Source organism: Homo sapiens, chromosome 16, assembly GCF_000001405.40.
Source record: "Homo sapiens chromosome 16, GRCh38.p14 Primary Assembly".
NCBI lineage: Eukaryota > Metazoa > Chordata > Mammalia > Primates > Hominidae > Homo > Homo sapiens.
In genome coordinates, this window is record NC_000016.10 from 84,008,589 (window position 1) to 84,026,244 (window position 17,656).

Below are 17,656 nucleotides of genomic sequence, written 5' to 3' on the forward strand. Positions count from 1 at the left end.
TGGCCAGGCTGGTTCTCAAGCTCCTGACCTCAAGTGATCTGCCCGCGTCAGCCTCCCAAAGTGCTGGGATTACAGGCGTGAGCCACTGTGCCCAGCTACCTCCTTTTCTTTACCCAGGCCCTAGAAGCAAACCTCGTCTCCTCTTGCTCTCTGCTGCCAGTGTGACCCCTTGTCCCAGAATTGGGGAGGCCACCAGGGAGAACTGCAGAGCCAACAGTCCACTTGGCTTCCAGGCTCTTTGAGTCCAGCTGGTGGGAGGGAAAGCACAGTTTCCTTGGAGTCATCCACCCTCCACGGGGCATGGGCCAAGTGCATGGCGGTGTGGCGTGTTCCGGGCATACACCTCCTTGGGCCTGTCACAGCCAAGGGCAGGATTCGGGCATTTCCTGCGCCCTGGCCAAAGGACCATTTGAGTCCATCACCATCGCCAGCCATGCCTCCTCCCACTCCCTTCTGGGCTTCCCATTGCTGTGCAGTATCCTTACCTGACACCCTTGATCCTGACACTCCAAAGCCAATTATCTGGGCCTCAGCCCCTAGCTCCCTTTTATGGATTGAATCTTGTCTCCCAGAAACATCAGTTGAGGTTGAACCCCCGGAACCTGTGAACATAACCTTATTTGGAAATTGCATCTTTGTGGGTCCTAATTAATACAAGATGCAGGCAACTTATGATGAGATCACACTACTTACGGAGGTGGGAGGAGCTCACTTAGTGATGGGTATCTTTTTAAGAGAGAGATTTGGACACAGAGGATACACAGGGGAGAGTCACATGAAGACAAGAGCAGACACTGGAGTGAGGCAGCCACAAGCCAAGGAGTGCCGGCCACCCCTAGAACTGGGAAGACAGGAGGGAGCCTCCCCTAGAGCCCACAGAGGGAGCATGGCCCTAATGACACGTGATTTCAGACTCCTGGCCTCCAGAACTGTGATGCAACAAGCATCTGTTGTTTTAAGCCACCAGAGTGCGGTTATGGTCATTTATCACAGCGGCCATAAGAACTTTCCTCACCTTTGTACCAGAAACCCTTCGAACCCGCATAGCCCCATGAGCAGCCCAAGGAGGCAGAAGGCATCAGTCTCTCCAGCATCTTTATGAGGAAAAGAAATGGCATCGGTCTCCTGGCTGCATACAGCAGCCACGTAGGGTCAGCCCCCGGAGGGCCCCTTCCTGCCCGGCACTAGCTGCCCATCAGAACATCTCCCAGACCGCTGCCGCCGTGCTCTGCCCAAAGATGAAGGTGCCGACCAGCACAGAGACCACTCCCCAGACCTCCAGGCAGCACCTGCCAAGTGAATAAACCCATGTCAGAGCTTTTCTGGATTTTTGCACAAATAAGCCACACACACATAAAAAATTCACTATGTAGAGCCCAGTATGGAGTCATCAATTTGGAAAAAAGAAAAATTCAGAATATTTCCAGTTACCTGTAGGGATGGGTTTCCAAGACAATGGGAAGCAAAGTACCCAGGCAATTTTTTTTTTTTTTTTTTTTTGAGGTGGAGTCTCATTCTGTTGCCTAGGCTGGAGTGCAGTGGCACGATCTCGGCTCACTGCAGCCTCCACCTCCCGGGTTCAAGCAATTCTCCTGCCTCAGCCTCCCAAGTAACTGGGACTACAGACACACACGATGACACGAGGCCAATTTTTGTATTTTTAGTAGAGATGGAGTTTCATCATGTTTGCTAGGCTGGTCTTGAACTCCTGACCTCAAGTGATTCGCCCTCCTCAGCTTCCTAAAGTACTGGGATTACAAGCGCAAGCCACCGTTGCTGGCCGCAAGCAGTTTTTAAAAGCCCTCCGATCCCACCTGTTATGTCATAAGCTCATTCCTCCCCAGTATTTTATCAAATAAAAAGACATGGGGGCCAGGCATGGTGGCACAAGCCTATAATCCCAGCACTTTGGGAGGCTGAGGCAGGCGGATTCACCTGAGGTCATGAATTCAAGACCAGCCTGGCCAACATGGTGAAACCCCATCTCTACTAAAAATAAAAATAAAAAATTAGCCAGGCACGGTGGCAGGCACCTGTATTCCCAGCTATGTGGGAGGCTGAGGCAGAATTGCTTGAACCCGGGAGGCAGAGGTCGCAGTGAGCCAAGATTGCACCACTGCACTCCAGCCTGGAGGACAGAGCAAGACTCCATCTCAAAAAGAGAAAAAGACATGGAGAGAAGGGAGACACTACTTTGAAAAGTCCCCCCACCCTCCCTTTCTGTTCCTCAGCCTCTGATGAAATCCCATGAAAATGAAGGAGAAGACGCAAGCTCTAAGTCACACACGATCTCAGAGGGGTAGGGGACGAGGACGCAGGAGGCAGAGGTGGCTGGGACTGGCAGCCACCGAGGCCACATTTGTGAGCTTCGTCATGTAACCAGAGATGGGGTAGACAAGGAGGTCAGAGCGATAACAAGATTCCCACAAAATGGCAGGGCCACCAGAGATATTTGTGGCCCCATTAACAAAGACCAGAAGGCCGGGTTGTCATGGAAGGAACATTTCTAACCGAGCAGCATCTCAGCACGGCTGTTCAGCGCCATAAACATCCATTCATCTGTGCGGGGACTGTGAGGCTAATGTGCCTGTGGGCTGTGGCACTCCTGGAGCAGCGCTGATGTATTAGAAGGACCCAAAGCAGTTTTAACGATAAAAATATCTTGAAAGCTCATCAGTAAAAACTGTTGTGAGCTCAGATCAAGGAACAAAACAAAAAGCATGAAGACTCCGAAAAGCATCCCAGGGAATGAGCGGCTTAGGGGGTTACCAGACATTGGGAGGCTGGTTCAATACCCAAGGCAGGTTTAGAAACATCCAGAAACACTGCTCTCAAATCCAGAAGAAACCGGGCCAGGCCTGCTCCTTTGCAAAAACCAAGCTTGGGCTCAATGGGGCTAGAGGGCCGGGGGTATAGGGGAACAGACCTACAGCTGGCACCCAAATTCACGATTGCTGCCATTTAACATTATCTGGGATGGGGTGAAGGGTGGCCCCCAAAATTCATGTCTACCTGGAACCTGTGCTTGCCAGCTTATCTGGAAACTGGGTTTTGCAGATGTAATTAAGGAAAAGATCTTGAGAGAAGATACAACCTAGATTTAGGGTGGACCCTAATCTGATGGTAGGTATCCTTATAAAAGAAAGGCAGCCAGGTGTGATGGTGGGCGTCTGTGGTCCCAGCTACTCAGGAGGCTGAGGCAGGAGGATTGCTTGAGCCCAGGGGGTTGAGGCTGTAGTGAGCCACAATTACGCCACTGCACTCCAGCCGGAGCAACAGAGCAAGACTCTGTCTCAAAAACTAAAATAAATAAAAGCAGAGGGATTTCTGAGACGCAGAGACACAGGGAGAAAGCTAAATAATGATAAAGGCAGAGACTGGAGTGATGTAGCCACAGGCCAAGGAGCACCTGGGGCCACCAGAAGCTGAGGCGCCTTCAGAGAGTCCAGCCCTGCCAACACCTTGATTTCACACTCCTGGCTCCAGAACTGGGGAAAAAATTCATTTCTGTTGCTTTAAGCCTCCCCACCATGCCCCAATTTATGGTAATTTGTTACAATAACCCCATAAAACTAATACATCATCTCTTTACCTGCCTCAGCCTCAGTTTCCCCATCTATGGGATGGGAGGGAGTCACCCAGAACCCCAGACTACCCAGGGGCGGCTGAGGAAGCGCACATCATTCACGTGTACATCGTCCTCTTCCGTGGGTCAGACTCAGCTGCTCAGTGGCAAAGTACAGAGGCTCAGTCGTGTCTGATCCACAGGTCCGCTCGGGGATAAATATTTGTCAAATGAAGGAAAGATCCAAATTATCTGGTCTCAACAGCATTGTATGCCAGGCAGGTGGGTTAGCATGGGGCCTGGGAGCCAGGGGCCTGGGTTGCATCCTAGCTCTGTCCTCACTAGCATCCGGGCCCGCCTCCTCAGCTGTAGGATGAAGACATGTGGGTATGGTGGGGAGGTGAACATGTAAAAGGACCTAGCTCAGTGCCTAGCAGAGGAGCCTGGGAACAGCGACCCACTGCTGTGATGATGGTGTCTGGCCGGCCATGGGGCCTTTCTAACCCAGCCTGCACCCTGATCCTGCCCTGGGTCCGAGCCAGGTAACAAAGGAGGGTACAGATGCACCACTGGGTGCTTCCAGAGGCTGGAATCTACATGAAATCCCAACCACAGACCCTCAGAGTGGAAGGGAAGGCCCTTGGAGGACCCGGTGTTACTGGCCCGGGCTCCTATCCTGGCTCAGATGCCCTCATACTGGGTAGACAGAGACTCTCTTCCTGTGGCTCGCAGGTTTCTCACCTGCAGGATGCAGAGGATGAGAAATAGGATCTGCAGGGTCCCCTGAAACATTCTTACTCTGATCCGGGGCACACCCAGGGTGCCACCTCATCTTAGGGACACTTACTTGACTCTTGGTCCTATAGGCTCGACACCCATTGCACAGATGAGGCACAAACCTGCAAAAAAGACAGGGTCACCCACAGTTCTTCGTTATCAAACCCAAAGCAACAAAAAGGTCCCGGGAGAGGTCCTCAGGGACCCAGGAGGCCAGCAAGGCCTCCGCCCATGGGTGCCCCTGGCTCAGGCCCCCTGGAGAGGCAACACAGTGGAGCTGGAAGGACGGGGCTGGAGTCCCAGCTCAACATGCCCTAATGACTTAGGCAGAGGTCTGGCAGCAACCGACTTCCCAGAGCCCCATCTTTCAGGCAACCTTGACAACATGCCCCCCCACAGCAGAGTCTATGAGGAGATGGTGAGAGTCCATGCCTGACACCCGGGAAGTGCTCGGCAACTGGCAGCTACCATTACTTTCTTTTGTTGTGTGTGTGTTTTTTTTTTTTTTTTTTTTTTTTTGAGACGGAGTCTCACTCTGCTGCCAGGCTGGAGTGCAGTGGCACCATCTCGGCTCACTGCAACCTCCACCTCCCGGGTTCAAGTCATTCTCGTGCCTCAGCCTCCCGAGTAGCTGGGACTACAGGTGCGTGCCACCACACCCCGCTCATTTTTGTATTTTTAGTAGAGACGGGATTTCACCATGTTGGTCAGGATGGTCTGGACCTCTTGACCTCGTGATCCGCCCGCCTTGGCCTCCCAAAGTGCTGGGATTACAGGCATGAGCCACTGCACCCAGCCCTTTTTTTTTTTTTTTTTAAATAGTTCTGCTAGGATTCAGGGCCATGTAGCTTGGCCTAAAGCTCCCAAAGGATCCTCTCTCAACTCAAACCTGTCCTGGGCAGTCCTTCCCACCACAGGAAATAGCCAGCGCTACAACTGGCCACCTGGTCACAGCATCAGAATTTAATCTAACAGCCCAGACCAGGGAGTGTGAGGGAGGAGCCACGTGGCCACAGCCTCACCTCTGAGAAGCTCCACCCAGAGCCTGAGTGAGGAGCCGTGTGGCCACACCCTCAGCCCTGAAAGCCCCGCCCAGAGCCTGAGGGAAGGGCTGTGTGACCACACTCTCATCTCTGAAAGGCCCGCCCAGAGCTGAGGGAGGAGATGCATGGCCACACCCCTCACCTCTAAAACCTCCTCTCAGAGCCTGAGGGAGGAGCTATGTGGCCACACCCCTCACCTCTGAAAGCCCCGCCCAGAGCCAAGGGAGGAGCTGTGTAGCCACACCCTCACCTCTGAAAGCTCCACCCTAAGCCCGAGGGAGAAGCCACAAGGCCACACCCCTCACCTCTGAAAGCCTCGCCCACAGCCTGAATAAGGAGCTGCGTGGCCACACCCTCACCTCTGAAAGCCCGGCCCAGAACTGAGGGAGGAGTCGTGTGGCCACATCCCCATCAATGAAAGCTCCGCTCAGAGCATGCAGGAGCAGCTGTGTGGCCACACCCCTCACCTCTGAAAGCCCTGCCCAGAGTCGAGGGAGGAGCTGTATAGCCACACCCTCACCTGTGAAAGCGCCACCCTAAGCCCAAGGGAGAAGCCACATGGCCACACCCCTCTCCTCTCTAAAAGTTCCACCCAGAACCTGAGGGAGGAGCCACATGGCCACTCCCCTCACCTCTGAGAGCTCTGGGCAGAGCCAGGAGCAGAGTGGGTGGCTGTTCTCCTCCCCTCCCTTCACTTCACTTCCCCAGTCTTTATCTCTTAATCCCAGTAGACCCCAATTTACGGGAGCTGGGGCAGGTACGGTTAGATTCTCAAGGGACTACATCAAAGACAACCCCTGAATCTTAATTCACCTGCTAAGAACCCACTTTTCATATTCCACACATCAGTTGGCCTCTTTGATAACCAACATTTCTCTGTGGCCCTCAATTCTTCCATCGCCCCCCCACCTCCGGGGTATTGACAAAGTTGTCACCACCCACTTACCTGGGACCCTGAACAATGTTTCGTTTCATGCCCCCATTCGAGTTTTGGAAGACCTGTAAGAGCCTCTACCTGTGCTTTCTGTTAAGTTTCACCAATGGGCATCTACTTCTTGTCTGTTTGACATAACGGCTGCATCAGGGTGTTGGGGATACCTGGCTAAGGGTCCCCAAGCTCGATGTCTGTTTGGCATGGTTCCAGTCGCGGCTGAATCACAGGGTCCACTCACGGAACACGCACTGAGGGAGTCTCGACTGTGTACTCAACACTTGCTGTGTGTGGGGCCCTGGAACACACCCCCCACTGCGGATCTGGAGTCTCTGTTCTGGGCTCCAGTGGGCCACTACAGTGTACCCTTTTCCACTGGAAGAAGCATCCCTCCAGCCCCCACCTTGCTGGCTTCCCCTTCTCAGATAATGCTTGGGCTGTTTGGGAAGGTTTCCTAAGAAACCATCCTTCGCAGAAACGGTGTTTGCCTCCAGGGCCTGGAGGCAGGAGGGAAGGGAGACATTTGCAGGGTGCCTTGAGCCACGTGACTTTCACATATACGATTTTCTTTTTTTAATAAAACAAAATCTTTTAGCAGGAGGCACCAGCGGTAGCATGGACAGAGCTGTATGATTGACCCTCAGCCCTGCTGCATACTAGCTGTGCCCCCGGCGGGGGTTCAGGGCCTCGGTCTTCGCATCTATGGAATGGGATCATAAACGTTCCTACGTCAAGAATGTCCATCAGGAGCTGTATTAGTCTGCTCTCATGCTGCTAATAAAGACCTACCAGGGACTAGGTAATGGTTTGTTTTGTTTGAGATGGAGTTTCACTCTTGTCGCCCAGGCTAGAGTGCAGTGGCGCAATCTTGGCTCCCTGCAACCTCCGCCTCCCGGGTTCAAGTGATTCTCCTGCCTAAGCCTCCTGAGTAGCTGTGATTACAGGCATACACCACCATGGATGGCTAATTTTGTATTTTTAGTAGGCTGGTCTCGACCTCCTGACCTCAGGTGATCCGCCTGCCTCGGCCTCCCAAAGTGCTGGGATTACAGGCGTGAGCCACTGTGCCCAGCCAGAGGCTAGGTAATTTATAAAGAAAAGAGGTTTAATGGACTCACAGTTCCACATGGCTGAGGAGGCCTCACAATCATGGCAAAAGGCAAATAAGGAGCAAAGTCACGTCTTACATGGTGGCAGGCAGGCAAGAGAGCTTGTGCTGGGGGGCGGGGGGGGACCCCCACTTATAAAACCATCAGATCTCATGAGACTTATTCACTACCACAAGAACAGAATGGGTGGAACCATCCCCATGATTCAACTATCTCCACCTTGCCCTGCCCTTCACAGATGGTAATTATTACAGTTCAAGGTGAGATTTGGGTGTGAACACAACCAAACCTCATCAGGAGCTAATGAGATGTTTAATGAGTGAGGGAAGGTATGTAAAGCCCAAGCCTGTGCCTGGCTCAATAAAAAGGGCACCTACATGGGGTCTTAATCCTACCCATATGTGGCTCCCACCTTCCAGAACCTTGACCTCCAACACTGGGAGTCCCCACAGAGATGAGCAGGGAAGAACAAGTGGGCAGAAAGCCTGGAAAGCAGGGGCCTCACCTGGGAAGATGAAGATGAAGAAGGAACTGATGCCTCCGATGATGCTGACGATCTCGCTGAGGTCAGGCATAAACAGCGCCATGGCGAGCGTCACGGTGACCCACAGGATGGTCAGCGGCATCCGGACCCACAGCCCTGAGGGGTCGGCCAGGGCGCTGGGCCCCCATCCCCCCAAGCAGCTCCTCCTCCAGAAGTCCTGCATCACTGACCTGGAGGCCACAGCCAACACAGACACATGGGCATCTCAGGGGCACCAGCCTCCACCCGACAGCTGCTCCCCAGTCCTCCAGGAGTCCCCTCACACCTGTCAGTGCTCCTGTTCCACACTCAGGTGTTTATTCCCCAGGAGACCTTGCCAACCCTCAGGGGTTCTGCCACCATCGGGCAGCCCATGGGGCAGGGGATGAAGCACGTGGTTCGCATTCCAGTCCTGGCTGTGGACACACACTCACGGAGTGACTTTGGGCAATCTACCTAAATCCTCTGTGCCTGTTTCCTCCTGTCTACAATTGGAGAGGATGGTAGTCCCACAGCCGCGTAGCCCACACCTGGTACATGCTCAATCACAGCACACATCAGCAGACCATGCTTCACGGTGCCCCCCACTGAGCCAGGCCTCACCTCCCCAGGAAGAGCACGATGGGGTAGACAGTTACGATGGAGACAGCAAAAAGGACCCGGGCCACAATGATGACCATATCATTGCCTGGGTAGGACATCAAGACGTCAGCAGAAACTTCTGTCCCAAAAGTCAGGAAGCCATAAACCCCTGAAGGTGGGAAAGGATGGAAGCCACAGAGTGGATTAGGAAAATGCTGCCCCCTCCCCCACCAACAGACAGACAGCGCCTGGCTTTACCACCTAAGATTTTCCTTAGGAGCTGAAAGAAGGTTCTGGAAGGGATAGCCCAAAGCTTTCCTGTCCTAAGCCTACACATGACTGTGCTCCAGGGATTCAAGACCCCTGCAGACAAATCCGCCACTTATCCTCCTTTCAAATCGCTCACAGAGCTGGTGCACGGAGCTCACCCACAGTGCGTGTGTTGACTAGAAGCACAGAGCACTTTGAAAAATACAAACACACCTCCCATGCCCTGTCCATCTCACTCCTACGACATCTAAAGAAAGCAGCTAGCTGTGCACACATTTCCAAATGGGGAAAACCAAGAGCCAGGGCATCAACCAATACCTAGAATCACACAGCTAGTTTTCGTGGACTGAGGACAAGAGCGCCATTCCCTTTGCGCCAACAGGGTGACACTGCTTCTGTCACCCCGGGTTGCCTGCCCTGTCCTGAGAGATAGGTCTCTAAGAGCCATGTTCCTTTCAGCTTCTCTGCAAGCCCTTTCTGAGAGGTCCCATGACCCTGGCAGTGGGAACATGTGGAGGTGATACTGAATCACTGAGTCACACCCTCTGACCCAGGGGCTACAGACTGATGGGACCTCCTCTGCTGGGGAAGGAGTCACCCAGCAAGTTTCCTGGATAACCACAGTATCTTAGTCCATTTTTTGTTGCTTACAACAGAATACCTGAAACTGGGCATCTCATAAAGAAAAGAAACTTACTTCCTACAGTTATGAAGGCTGAGAAGTCCAAGATTGAGTGCCCACACTGGTGAGGGCCTTCTTGCCAATGGGGACTGTCTTCAGAGGTGGCATAGGGCATTGTATAGCAAGGATGAGCTCTGACTCAGCCCTCATTCCTTTTTTTTTTTTTTTTTTTTTTTTTTTGAGACAGAGTCTCTCTCTGTCGCCCAGGCTGGAGTGCAGTGGCACGATCTCGGCTCACTGCAAGCTCCGCCTCCTGGGTTCACGCCATTCTCCTGCCCTAGCCTCCTGAGTAGCTGGGACTACAGACGCCCGCCACATTTTTGAATTTTTAGTAAAGACAGGGTTTCACCGTGTTAGCCAGGATGGTCTCGATCTCCTGACCTCGTGATCCACCCGCCCTGGCCTCCCAAAGTGCTGGGATTACAGGCATGAGCCACCGTGCCTGGCCTGGCCCATTCCCTCTTCTTATAAAGCCACTAGTGCCATGCCCATAACCCATCAGTCCATTAACCCATTAATCCATTAAGCCCCTGCCCCATGCCTGCCTCTTATGTGGGCTGTTCAGCTGGACCTAGAAACTAAAATCAACACCAGACAATCACATCAGCAGGAGAAAAGCCTACGGATCTTATTAATTTTCCTTGTCATTGGGATCTTAACACAGTGATGTCTGATGAAGCGGCCGAAATGAGATGCTTTTATACTTTTTAGACAAAGAATAAATCTGACAAGGAATGACAAGACAAAGGGGATCTGGTCGGGGCAGTGAATTTCTAGGGGAGTCACTAGGAGATATATGGGGTGGGTATAAAACTAGCAGAAGCTAAGGCTAGTTCAATAAGTGGATTTATTCAGGTCCATTGCAGCCAGAAGTCCCGCTTCCAGTGATGAGGACTATTTTCTCACCCTGGTATGGGGAGGTGGCCTCTCCCAGAGGAATTTTTATGGCTTGATGCCTGCAGAAAGAGTCAAGTCAGCTAGCTCTTACTGAAACTACAATTTCTCCAAAAAAAATTTTTTTTTTTTTTGAGATGGAGTCTGTCACCCAGGCTGGATTGCAGTGGCACAATCTCGACTCACTGCAACCTGTGCCTTCCAGGTTCAAGCGATTATCTTGCCTCAGCCTCCTGAGTAGCCTGGATTACAGGCACATGTCACCATGCTCGGCTATATTTTTCTGTTTTTAGTAGAAACGGGGTTTCACTGTGTTAGCCAGGATGCTCTCGATCTCCTGACCTCGTAATCCACCTGCCTCAGCCTACCATAATGCTGGGATTACAAGCATGAGCCACCGCACCCAGCCTCCAATATTTTTAACCCGAAATAATTAATGTACCAATTTGGCATACTGGCAGATGGTGCATCCTTCAACCCTTCACCACAAATGGATTAATCTGTTTATGAGAGCGCTGCTCTCGACAGCTTCTTAAAGGCCCCACCTCTCGATACTGCCATACTGGCAATTTAATTTCAACAAGAGTTTTGGAGGGGACAATCAATCAAACCACAGCATTCTGTCCCTGAGTCCCCAAAACTCATATCCTCCTCGCAGATAAATACCCCATGGTTATTCCAACCCCATGACCCCAAAGTCTTCATTCGCTCCAGCACCAACTCAGAGGTCCAAAGTCCAGAGTGTGGTCTGTGAGCCTGTGAAATCAAAAGCAATCTACTTCCAGGACACAATGGCAGTGCAGGCAAAAGAAACATTCTCATCCCAGAAGAGAGACTAAGGCCAAAGGAAAGGAGTAAAGGCTCTAAGCAAGCCTGAAACCCAGCAGAGCAGACACTCAAGCGTCAAGCTGGAGGATCATCTGTTTTGACACCATGTGCCACCCCCTGGACACACTGAGGCAACCCCACTCCTACGGCTTTGCCGGGTACAGCCCACGTGTCTGTTCACAGGGGTTGGCACCTGATGCCTGAAGTTCTCGCAGGCAGGTGTTGCACGTTGCTGGTAACTTCGCAGTTTGTAGTCCCAGTGGCAGTCCCACTCTCATGACTCCACTAGGCATTGCCCTGGCAGAGACTCTCTGCAGTTGGACCCCTACGCTTTCCACAACATCCGTTGTTTTTTTTTTTTTTTTTGAGACAGGGTCTTGCCCTGTCACCCAGGCTGGAGGGCGGTGGCACAATCACAGCTCATTCCAGCCTTGACCTCCAGGGCTCAAGTGATCCTCCCTCCTCCTCAGCCTCCTGAGTAGCTGGAACTACAGGCTCACACCACTATGTTCTGCTCATTTAAAAAATGTTTTTGTAGAGACAGGGTCTCACTACGTTGGCCAGGCTGGCCTCGAACTCCTGGCCTCAAGCAGTCCTTTCACCTCAGCCTCCCAAAAAATGCTGGGATTACAGGCATGAGCCACCACACCTGGCCTGAAGAACATCTTTTGAAATCTGGGTGGAGGCTGCCAAGCTTCTGTAGCTCTCGCTATCTGCCAGCCTGCAGAATTAGCAACGCACGCATCCTGCCAAGGTTTACCACTTATACCTTCTGGGGCTGCAGCACGAGCCAGATCAGGGGCCACCTGACCCAAAGCTGGTGCAGCGAGGATCTCTGTGCCAGGGTCCCGGGAGCAGAGACGTGAGGGCACGTAGGATAGCCTGTGGAGGCACCCTGGGTCTGTCCCCAAAACCATCCTGCCCTTGAGGCCTCTGAGCCTGTGATGGGAGGGGCAGCCTCTAAGATATCTGAAATGCCTTCAGGGTCTTTCTTCCATTCTCTAGATAATCCTTTCTCTCCATATTAATCTCCTTAGCAAAAGGCCACAGGGCCACAACCTTGGTTTCCTATACGCGCTGCACTCTATACGGCCAGGCTGAAAGAGTTCCAGATCTTGCTGCTTTGGTTCTCTTTTGATGATCAATTTCATCTTCAAGTCATTTTTTGCCTGTTCCAGCATAACGTGAGCAGCTAAGAGTAGCCATGCAGCATCCTGAATGCTCTGCTCCTTGGATATCTCTTCCGCCAGATACCCTAGTTCATCCTTTTTTGCCGGCAGGGGAGGGATGACAGAGTCTCATTCTTGTTGCCCAGGCTGGAGTGCAATGGTGCGATCTCAGCTCACTGCAACCTCCAGCTCCCAGGTTCAATTGATACTCCTGCCTCAACCTCCCAAGCAGCTGGGATTACAGGTGCCCCGCCACCATGCTCGGCTAATTTTTTGTATTTTTAATAGAAATGCGGTTTTACCATGTTTCACAGGCTGGTCTCAAAATCCTGACCTCAAGTGATCCACCTGCCTCGGCCTCCCAAAGTGCTGCGATGACAGGAGTGAGCCACGGCACCCGGCCAGTTCATCCCTTTCAAGTTCAGCCTTCCACAAAACCCTCAGGCATGGACACAGTTCAGCCAAATTATTTGCCAGCTTCTAACAGGTTTGTCCTTTACTCCAGCTTCCAAAACCTTGTTCCTCAGTTCCGTCTGAAACCTCCTCAGAACAGACTTTACTATCCATATTTCCATGACTAACTAGAGTATCTAAGAAGTTCCAAATGTTCCCTAGTCTTGTCTCTAAGCCCTCACCAGAATCTAGGCTTATTCTAGCCTGCTCCTCCGAATTCTTCCAGCCTGCACTCATTGCCCAGCTCCAAAGCCGCTTCCACGTTCCAGGTAGTCAATCATCAACACCCCACTCTTGATACCAATTTTCTGTCTTAGTCCATTTTTTGTTGGTTACAACAGAATGCCTGAAATTGAGTAATTTATACAGAAAGGAAATTTTTTTACAGTTATGGAGATTGAGAAGTCCAGGATCAAGAGGCTACATCTGGGGAGAGCCTTCTTGCCGGAGGGGACTTTGCAGAGCCCTGAAGTGGCGCGCAGAGTGTCACATGGCAAGGGGGCTGAGTGTGTGAGCCCAGGTCTCTCTTCTTCTTCTTATAAAGCCACCAGCCCCACTCCCATGATAACCTATTAATCCACTAATCCATGAATAGATTAATCCATTCTTGAGGGCAGAGGCCTCATGCCCCAATCCCCTCTTGAAGGCCCCACGTCTCAATGCTACCACATCAGGGATTAAATTTCAACCTGAGTTTTTAAGAGGATAAATATTCAAACCATAACACACAGGAGTCCAAGGCTGCCTGAGAGATTCACTGCAGCCCAAGAGCTTCCTAGACTGGAGGATACGTTGGTGAATGAAAAAAGACTGGCGTCAAGTGGCCAACCAGAAGCCAGCCGTGCCAGGGACCTGGGACTGTCCTTCCAATGCACTGTACGATCCTGCGTGTCACAGCCCCTCTCTGAGCCACACTTTCATCACCTTTAAAGACCCTCTGCCTCCCACACACAGTTTGTGAGCACCTGAGTCCACTGCACCCACAAACGTTTTGTAAACCCTACCCAGATGTTACAGTGTAATGACGGACAGCAGTCAATGTCCTTTGAACAGCAGGCAGCAGGGCTGGGGTGTGGTGTGTCAGAGCACGGGCTTTGGAGACGGCTAGGCTGGAGTTCAGGTCTCAGCTTTGCAGATCTAGCTGTGAAACCTCGAACAAGTTCTGGAGGGCACCTGAGCCTCAGCTTCCTCATCTATGAAATGAGGCCTTTTCCTATGCACACTAAGGATTAAATAAGATGCTCAAAACATTGAGTATTGAGCCCAGCACGTGGTAAACTCTCTAGAGAGATACTCGCTGTTACTCTTGTTTCTACTGTCACTCCCCACCCTCTGCAGGGGTGCCTGGGAAGGGCCTTACCCGTCAGTGAATAGATGAGGCAGCAGGCCAGCAAGGACAGCACAGACACCAGGGCCCAGTGGGAGAGGCTCCGTTTGCGCATGCTGCAGTAGATGGAGACGGCAGCTTCGTGACACTGTAAGACAGAGGGCGGCTCAGCAGGATGCTGGCTTCCCCTGGAACAGGCGATGCGAAAAAAAACTCATATCCAAAAGGCGGGAAATGTGGGATATGATGAGGTTTCTCTTGAAATAGCCTGATCAATCCTTTATTCTTTAATTCACAGTACACCCCCAACCCCTCTTTCCTTTTCTCCTTCCTTTCTGCCTTTGTTACATGCCCAAACACGCCACAGTACCAGGCATTATCAATACAAGCTCGCATTCCTTTCCTTATTTTTTAAAAAACTAGCTCTCTAGCTCATTACAAACACCCACTGCCCCTTTCCCCTCTCTCCCTTACCTGCCCACCTTATCTAAAAAAAAGTTCAAATGTTCAACTGAGGCTAGTTTAGATTGTGCGGCCCAACCCCAGCCAATGGGAAAAGGGTACAGGAGCAGGACTTGCATCAGGAATAAAGGCTCTTGTACTCCTTTGCTCGGGTGTGCTCTGACCAAGAAAAAGCACCCCTCTGCACAAAAGTAAAATTACTTTGCTAAGAATCCTTTCAGTGTTCCGTTTTCTTAAGATTTTGAGCGTTATTCCCAACAGAACCCACATGCCCACCAAGAGCAGAGGGCGTAAGTAAATGGCAGGATACTAACACACAGAGCATGATGTGGCTCTGACAAAGAACCATGCACCTCAACACAGACGAATCTCAGTCAGAACAATGAACACCACAGGAAGCCACATAGGTGCCGGGCACGCTGGCTCGCACCTGTCACCCCAGCACTTTGGGAGGCCGAAGGGGGCAGATCACTTGAGGTCAGGAGTTTGAGACCAGCCTGGCCAACATGGCAAAATTCCATCTCTACTTAAAATACAAAAATTAGCCGGGCATGGTAATGAGCACCTGTAATCCCAGCTACTCAGGAAGCTGAGGCAGGTGAATCACTGGAATTCGGGAGGCGGAGGTTGCAGTGAGCCAAGATCGTGCCACTGCACTCCAGCCTGAAAGACACAGTGACACTGTGTCTCAAAAGAAAAACAAGCCGGGCAGCAGAGAATGTTTCCGTTAATGGATGCGAAGTCCAAGTTACAAGATAAACACTTCTACACCAGGGTTTCTCAGCCTTGACACGATTGATGTCTGGTGTGGGTTAACTCTTGGCAGCCGCCCTGTGTGTTTGGGGTGGGGGTGTTGTGCAGTGTCCCTGGCCGGGACCTACTACATGCCAGTAACAGCCCCCCTCCCCCAAGTTGTGACAACCCAAAATGTCTGCAGACATGGTCAAATGTTCCCTGGGGGTATAACCAACCCACGCAAACCCCACTCTGTGGTGCTAGAAGGCAGGATGGTGGTTTGGGTAGGGTGGGTGCTACTGACCAGAAAAGGTCATGAAGGGGTTCCCGGGGGCTTGACCATGTCACATGGGTGCACACATACTTAGAATCTACATACTGTATATGTGACATGCCATATTGGGGTAAGCATTTTTTTTTGGTAGAGATGACTTCTTACTACATTGCCCAGGCTGGTCTCAAACTCCTGAGTTCAAGCGACCCTCCTGCTTTGGCCTCCCTAAGTGCTGAGATTACAAGTACGAGCCACCATGCCCAAGGGGGATAAGAATTTTAAACGCAGGAGGGAGCGGTGGCTCACGCCTGTAATCCCAGCACTTTGGGAGGCCAAGGCGTGTGGATCACCTGAGGTCTGGAGTTCGAGACCAGCCTGGCCAACATGGTGAAACCCCGTCTCTACTAAAAGTATAAAAATTAGTCAGGTGTGGTGGCAAGCACCTGTAATCCTAGTTACTTGGGAGGCTAAGGCAGGAGAGTCGCTCAAGCCTGGGAGGCAGAGTCTCGCTCTGTCACCCAGAATGGACTGAAGTGGCGCGAACTTGGCTCGCCGCAACCTCCGCCTCCCGGGCTTAAGCGACTCTCCTGCCTCAGCCTTCCGAGTAGCTGGGATTACAGGCACGCCCAGCTAATTTTTTATATTTTTGGTAGAGACAGGGTTTCACCATGTTGTCCAGGCTGGTCTCATACTCCTGACCTCAAGTGATCCTCCCACCTCGGCCTCGCAAAGTGCTGGGATTACAGGCGTGAGCCACCAAGCCCAGTGCAAGAATTTTTTTAACGCAAAACATACACAGTCAATGCCAAGAGCCCATGAGTCATGTGAATTCATTTCCCTGGGTGGGTCGTGGACATTGGTGATTCACGAACAGCCAAGAGAATACTGATGTACAGCCAGGGCTGGGCAGGGAGGCTCTGCTCTGTCCAGACACACCGGGCGGGGATGCTTTTTCCGGACACACTGGTGGGTTCAGGGTTCTTCCCAGGCTCCTGGGGCTGGTTCCCACCATCACACCCACTCTCTCACTCCTGGCCAAAACCAAACGTGCCAAGGCCTCATTCCTGCCCGCCCTGTAGGGACCCTACGCAGGAAGCTCAGATCAGCTAGGTCTTCCCTCCGCGCCTCAGGGCCTTTGCTACTGCTGGTCCCTCTGGCCGGATTTTCTCCGAGTCCAGCCAACTCCTCTGCACCCTCCTGGGGAGCCCTCCCGAGTGGGCTGGTTTCCTCTCTCACACAGCCCGTGTCCTCAACACGAGCGGGCTTTTCGGTTTGTCTACTCAGCGTCTCTCAACCACACGACAACAACGACCAAGTCTGCGTTGCTCAGGGCTCTGAGCTTGGGCCAGGATCGGAGCCTGCACCGAGCTGAATAAACACTACAGGGCTTACCCACCTACCCATCCCGTGAACCCACCCAGCAGCCACCAGGCCTCCCTCCACCCAGCCTCGCTCTGTCACTCATGAGTCCTCCTCGGTGCAAGTGAGCCAAGCCAAGGAAACAAGCCCAGCACAGCTGTCCTCTCACCCCCAGGACACATTCTGGAAATATAGGAGGGCACAGTGGCCTCCTCCCTCCGGCTTCCAGCCCTAGTTGAGCACAGCCCTTCCGCTGGCGCGTTGACCTCAGGCACCGCGCACCCCTGCTCTCTGGCCCCAGGTTTCCTGTCCTACAGGAGGGCTCTGCCAGCAGGGGGGACGCAACCCCTCTGCCTCCTGCACCCCCGCAGCACTTGTGGGGCTCACCCCACACTCTCAGGTCAGCCCTGTGGTCCTAGAGCCCCAGTGCCCACAATGGGGACCTCCGTGCACCAGCACCTCAGCCCCATGGCAGGCTCTGCCTTCAGGGCACGGCAGATGCCCCGAGGTGGGGAGTCCCCGAACGGCAGCTCTGCGTATAGGGGCACAGCTGAGTCCAATATAAGGGAAAAGACAGTTAGTAGTGCCAGACAGGTTGGTGGGCAGGAGGGTGCCTCCTTTTCTCCCTGTTTGACTCCGCAGTTGGGTTTCTACTGGTGTTTTGTTTTGTTTT

General features: G+C 52.4%; 1 protein-coding gene across 2 annotated transcripts in view, besides 2 other annotated features; it reads right to left on the minus strand.

Moving 5' to 3' along the window:
* The window catches only part of SLC38A8 (solute carrier family 38 member 8), a 33,706-nt gene continuing 17,128 nt past the window's right edge, over positions 1,079-17,656 (minus strand). For both annotated transcript variants that reach the window (XM_017022946.1, NM_001080442.3), the window contains 5 exons: positions 14,187-14,301; positions 8,552-8,699; positions 7,931-8,139; positions 4,413-4,464; positions 1,079-1,289 (listed from right to left, as the gene is read on the minus strand). In XM_017022946.1, the coding sequence (XP_016878435.1) occupies positions 1,196-1,289; positions 4,413-4,464; positions 7,931-8,139; positions 8,552-8,699; positions 14,187-14,301 (618 nt within the window). In that variant the 3' untranslated portion in view covers positions 1,079-1,195. The remainder of the gene's footprint in view (positions 1,290-4,412; positions 4,465-7,930; positions 8,140-8,551; positions 8,700-14,186; positions 14,302-17,656) is intronic.
* Positions 5,391-5,540: a silencer, noted in NCBI's record as "silent region_7774". NCBI's record gives its function as "represses an Ori minimal core promoter by ATAC-STARR-seq in GM12878 lymphoblastoid cells {active_cell/tissue: GM12878}" and the evidence as "EXISTENCE:reporter gene assay evidence [ECO:0000049][PMID:35858748]".
* Positions 7,810-8,311: an enhancer, noted in NCBI's record as "H3K4me1 hESC enhancer chr16:84050003-84050504 (GRCh37/hg19 assembly coordinates)". NCBI's record gives its function as "activates a minimal SCP1, AML or CMV promoter by ChIP-STARR-seq in naive H9 embryonic stem cells {active_cell/tissue: H9 hESC(naive)}" and the evidence as "EXISTENCE:reporter gene assay evidence [ECO:0000049][PMID:30033119]".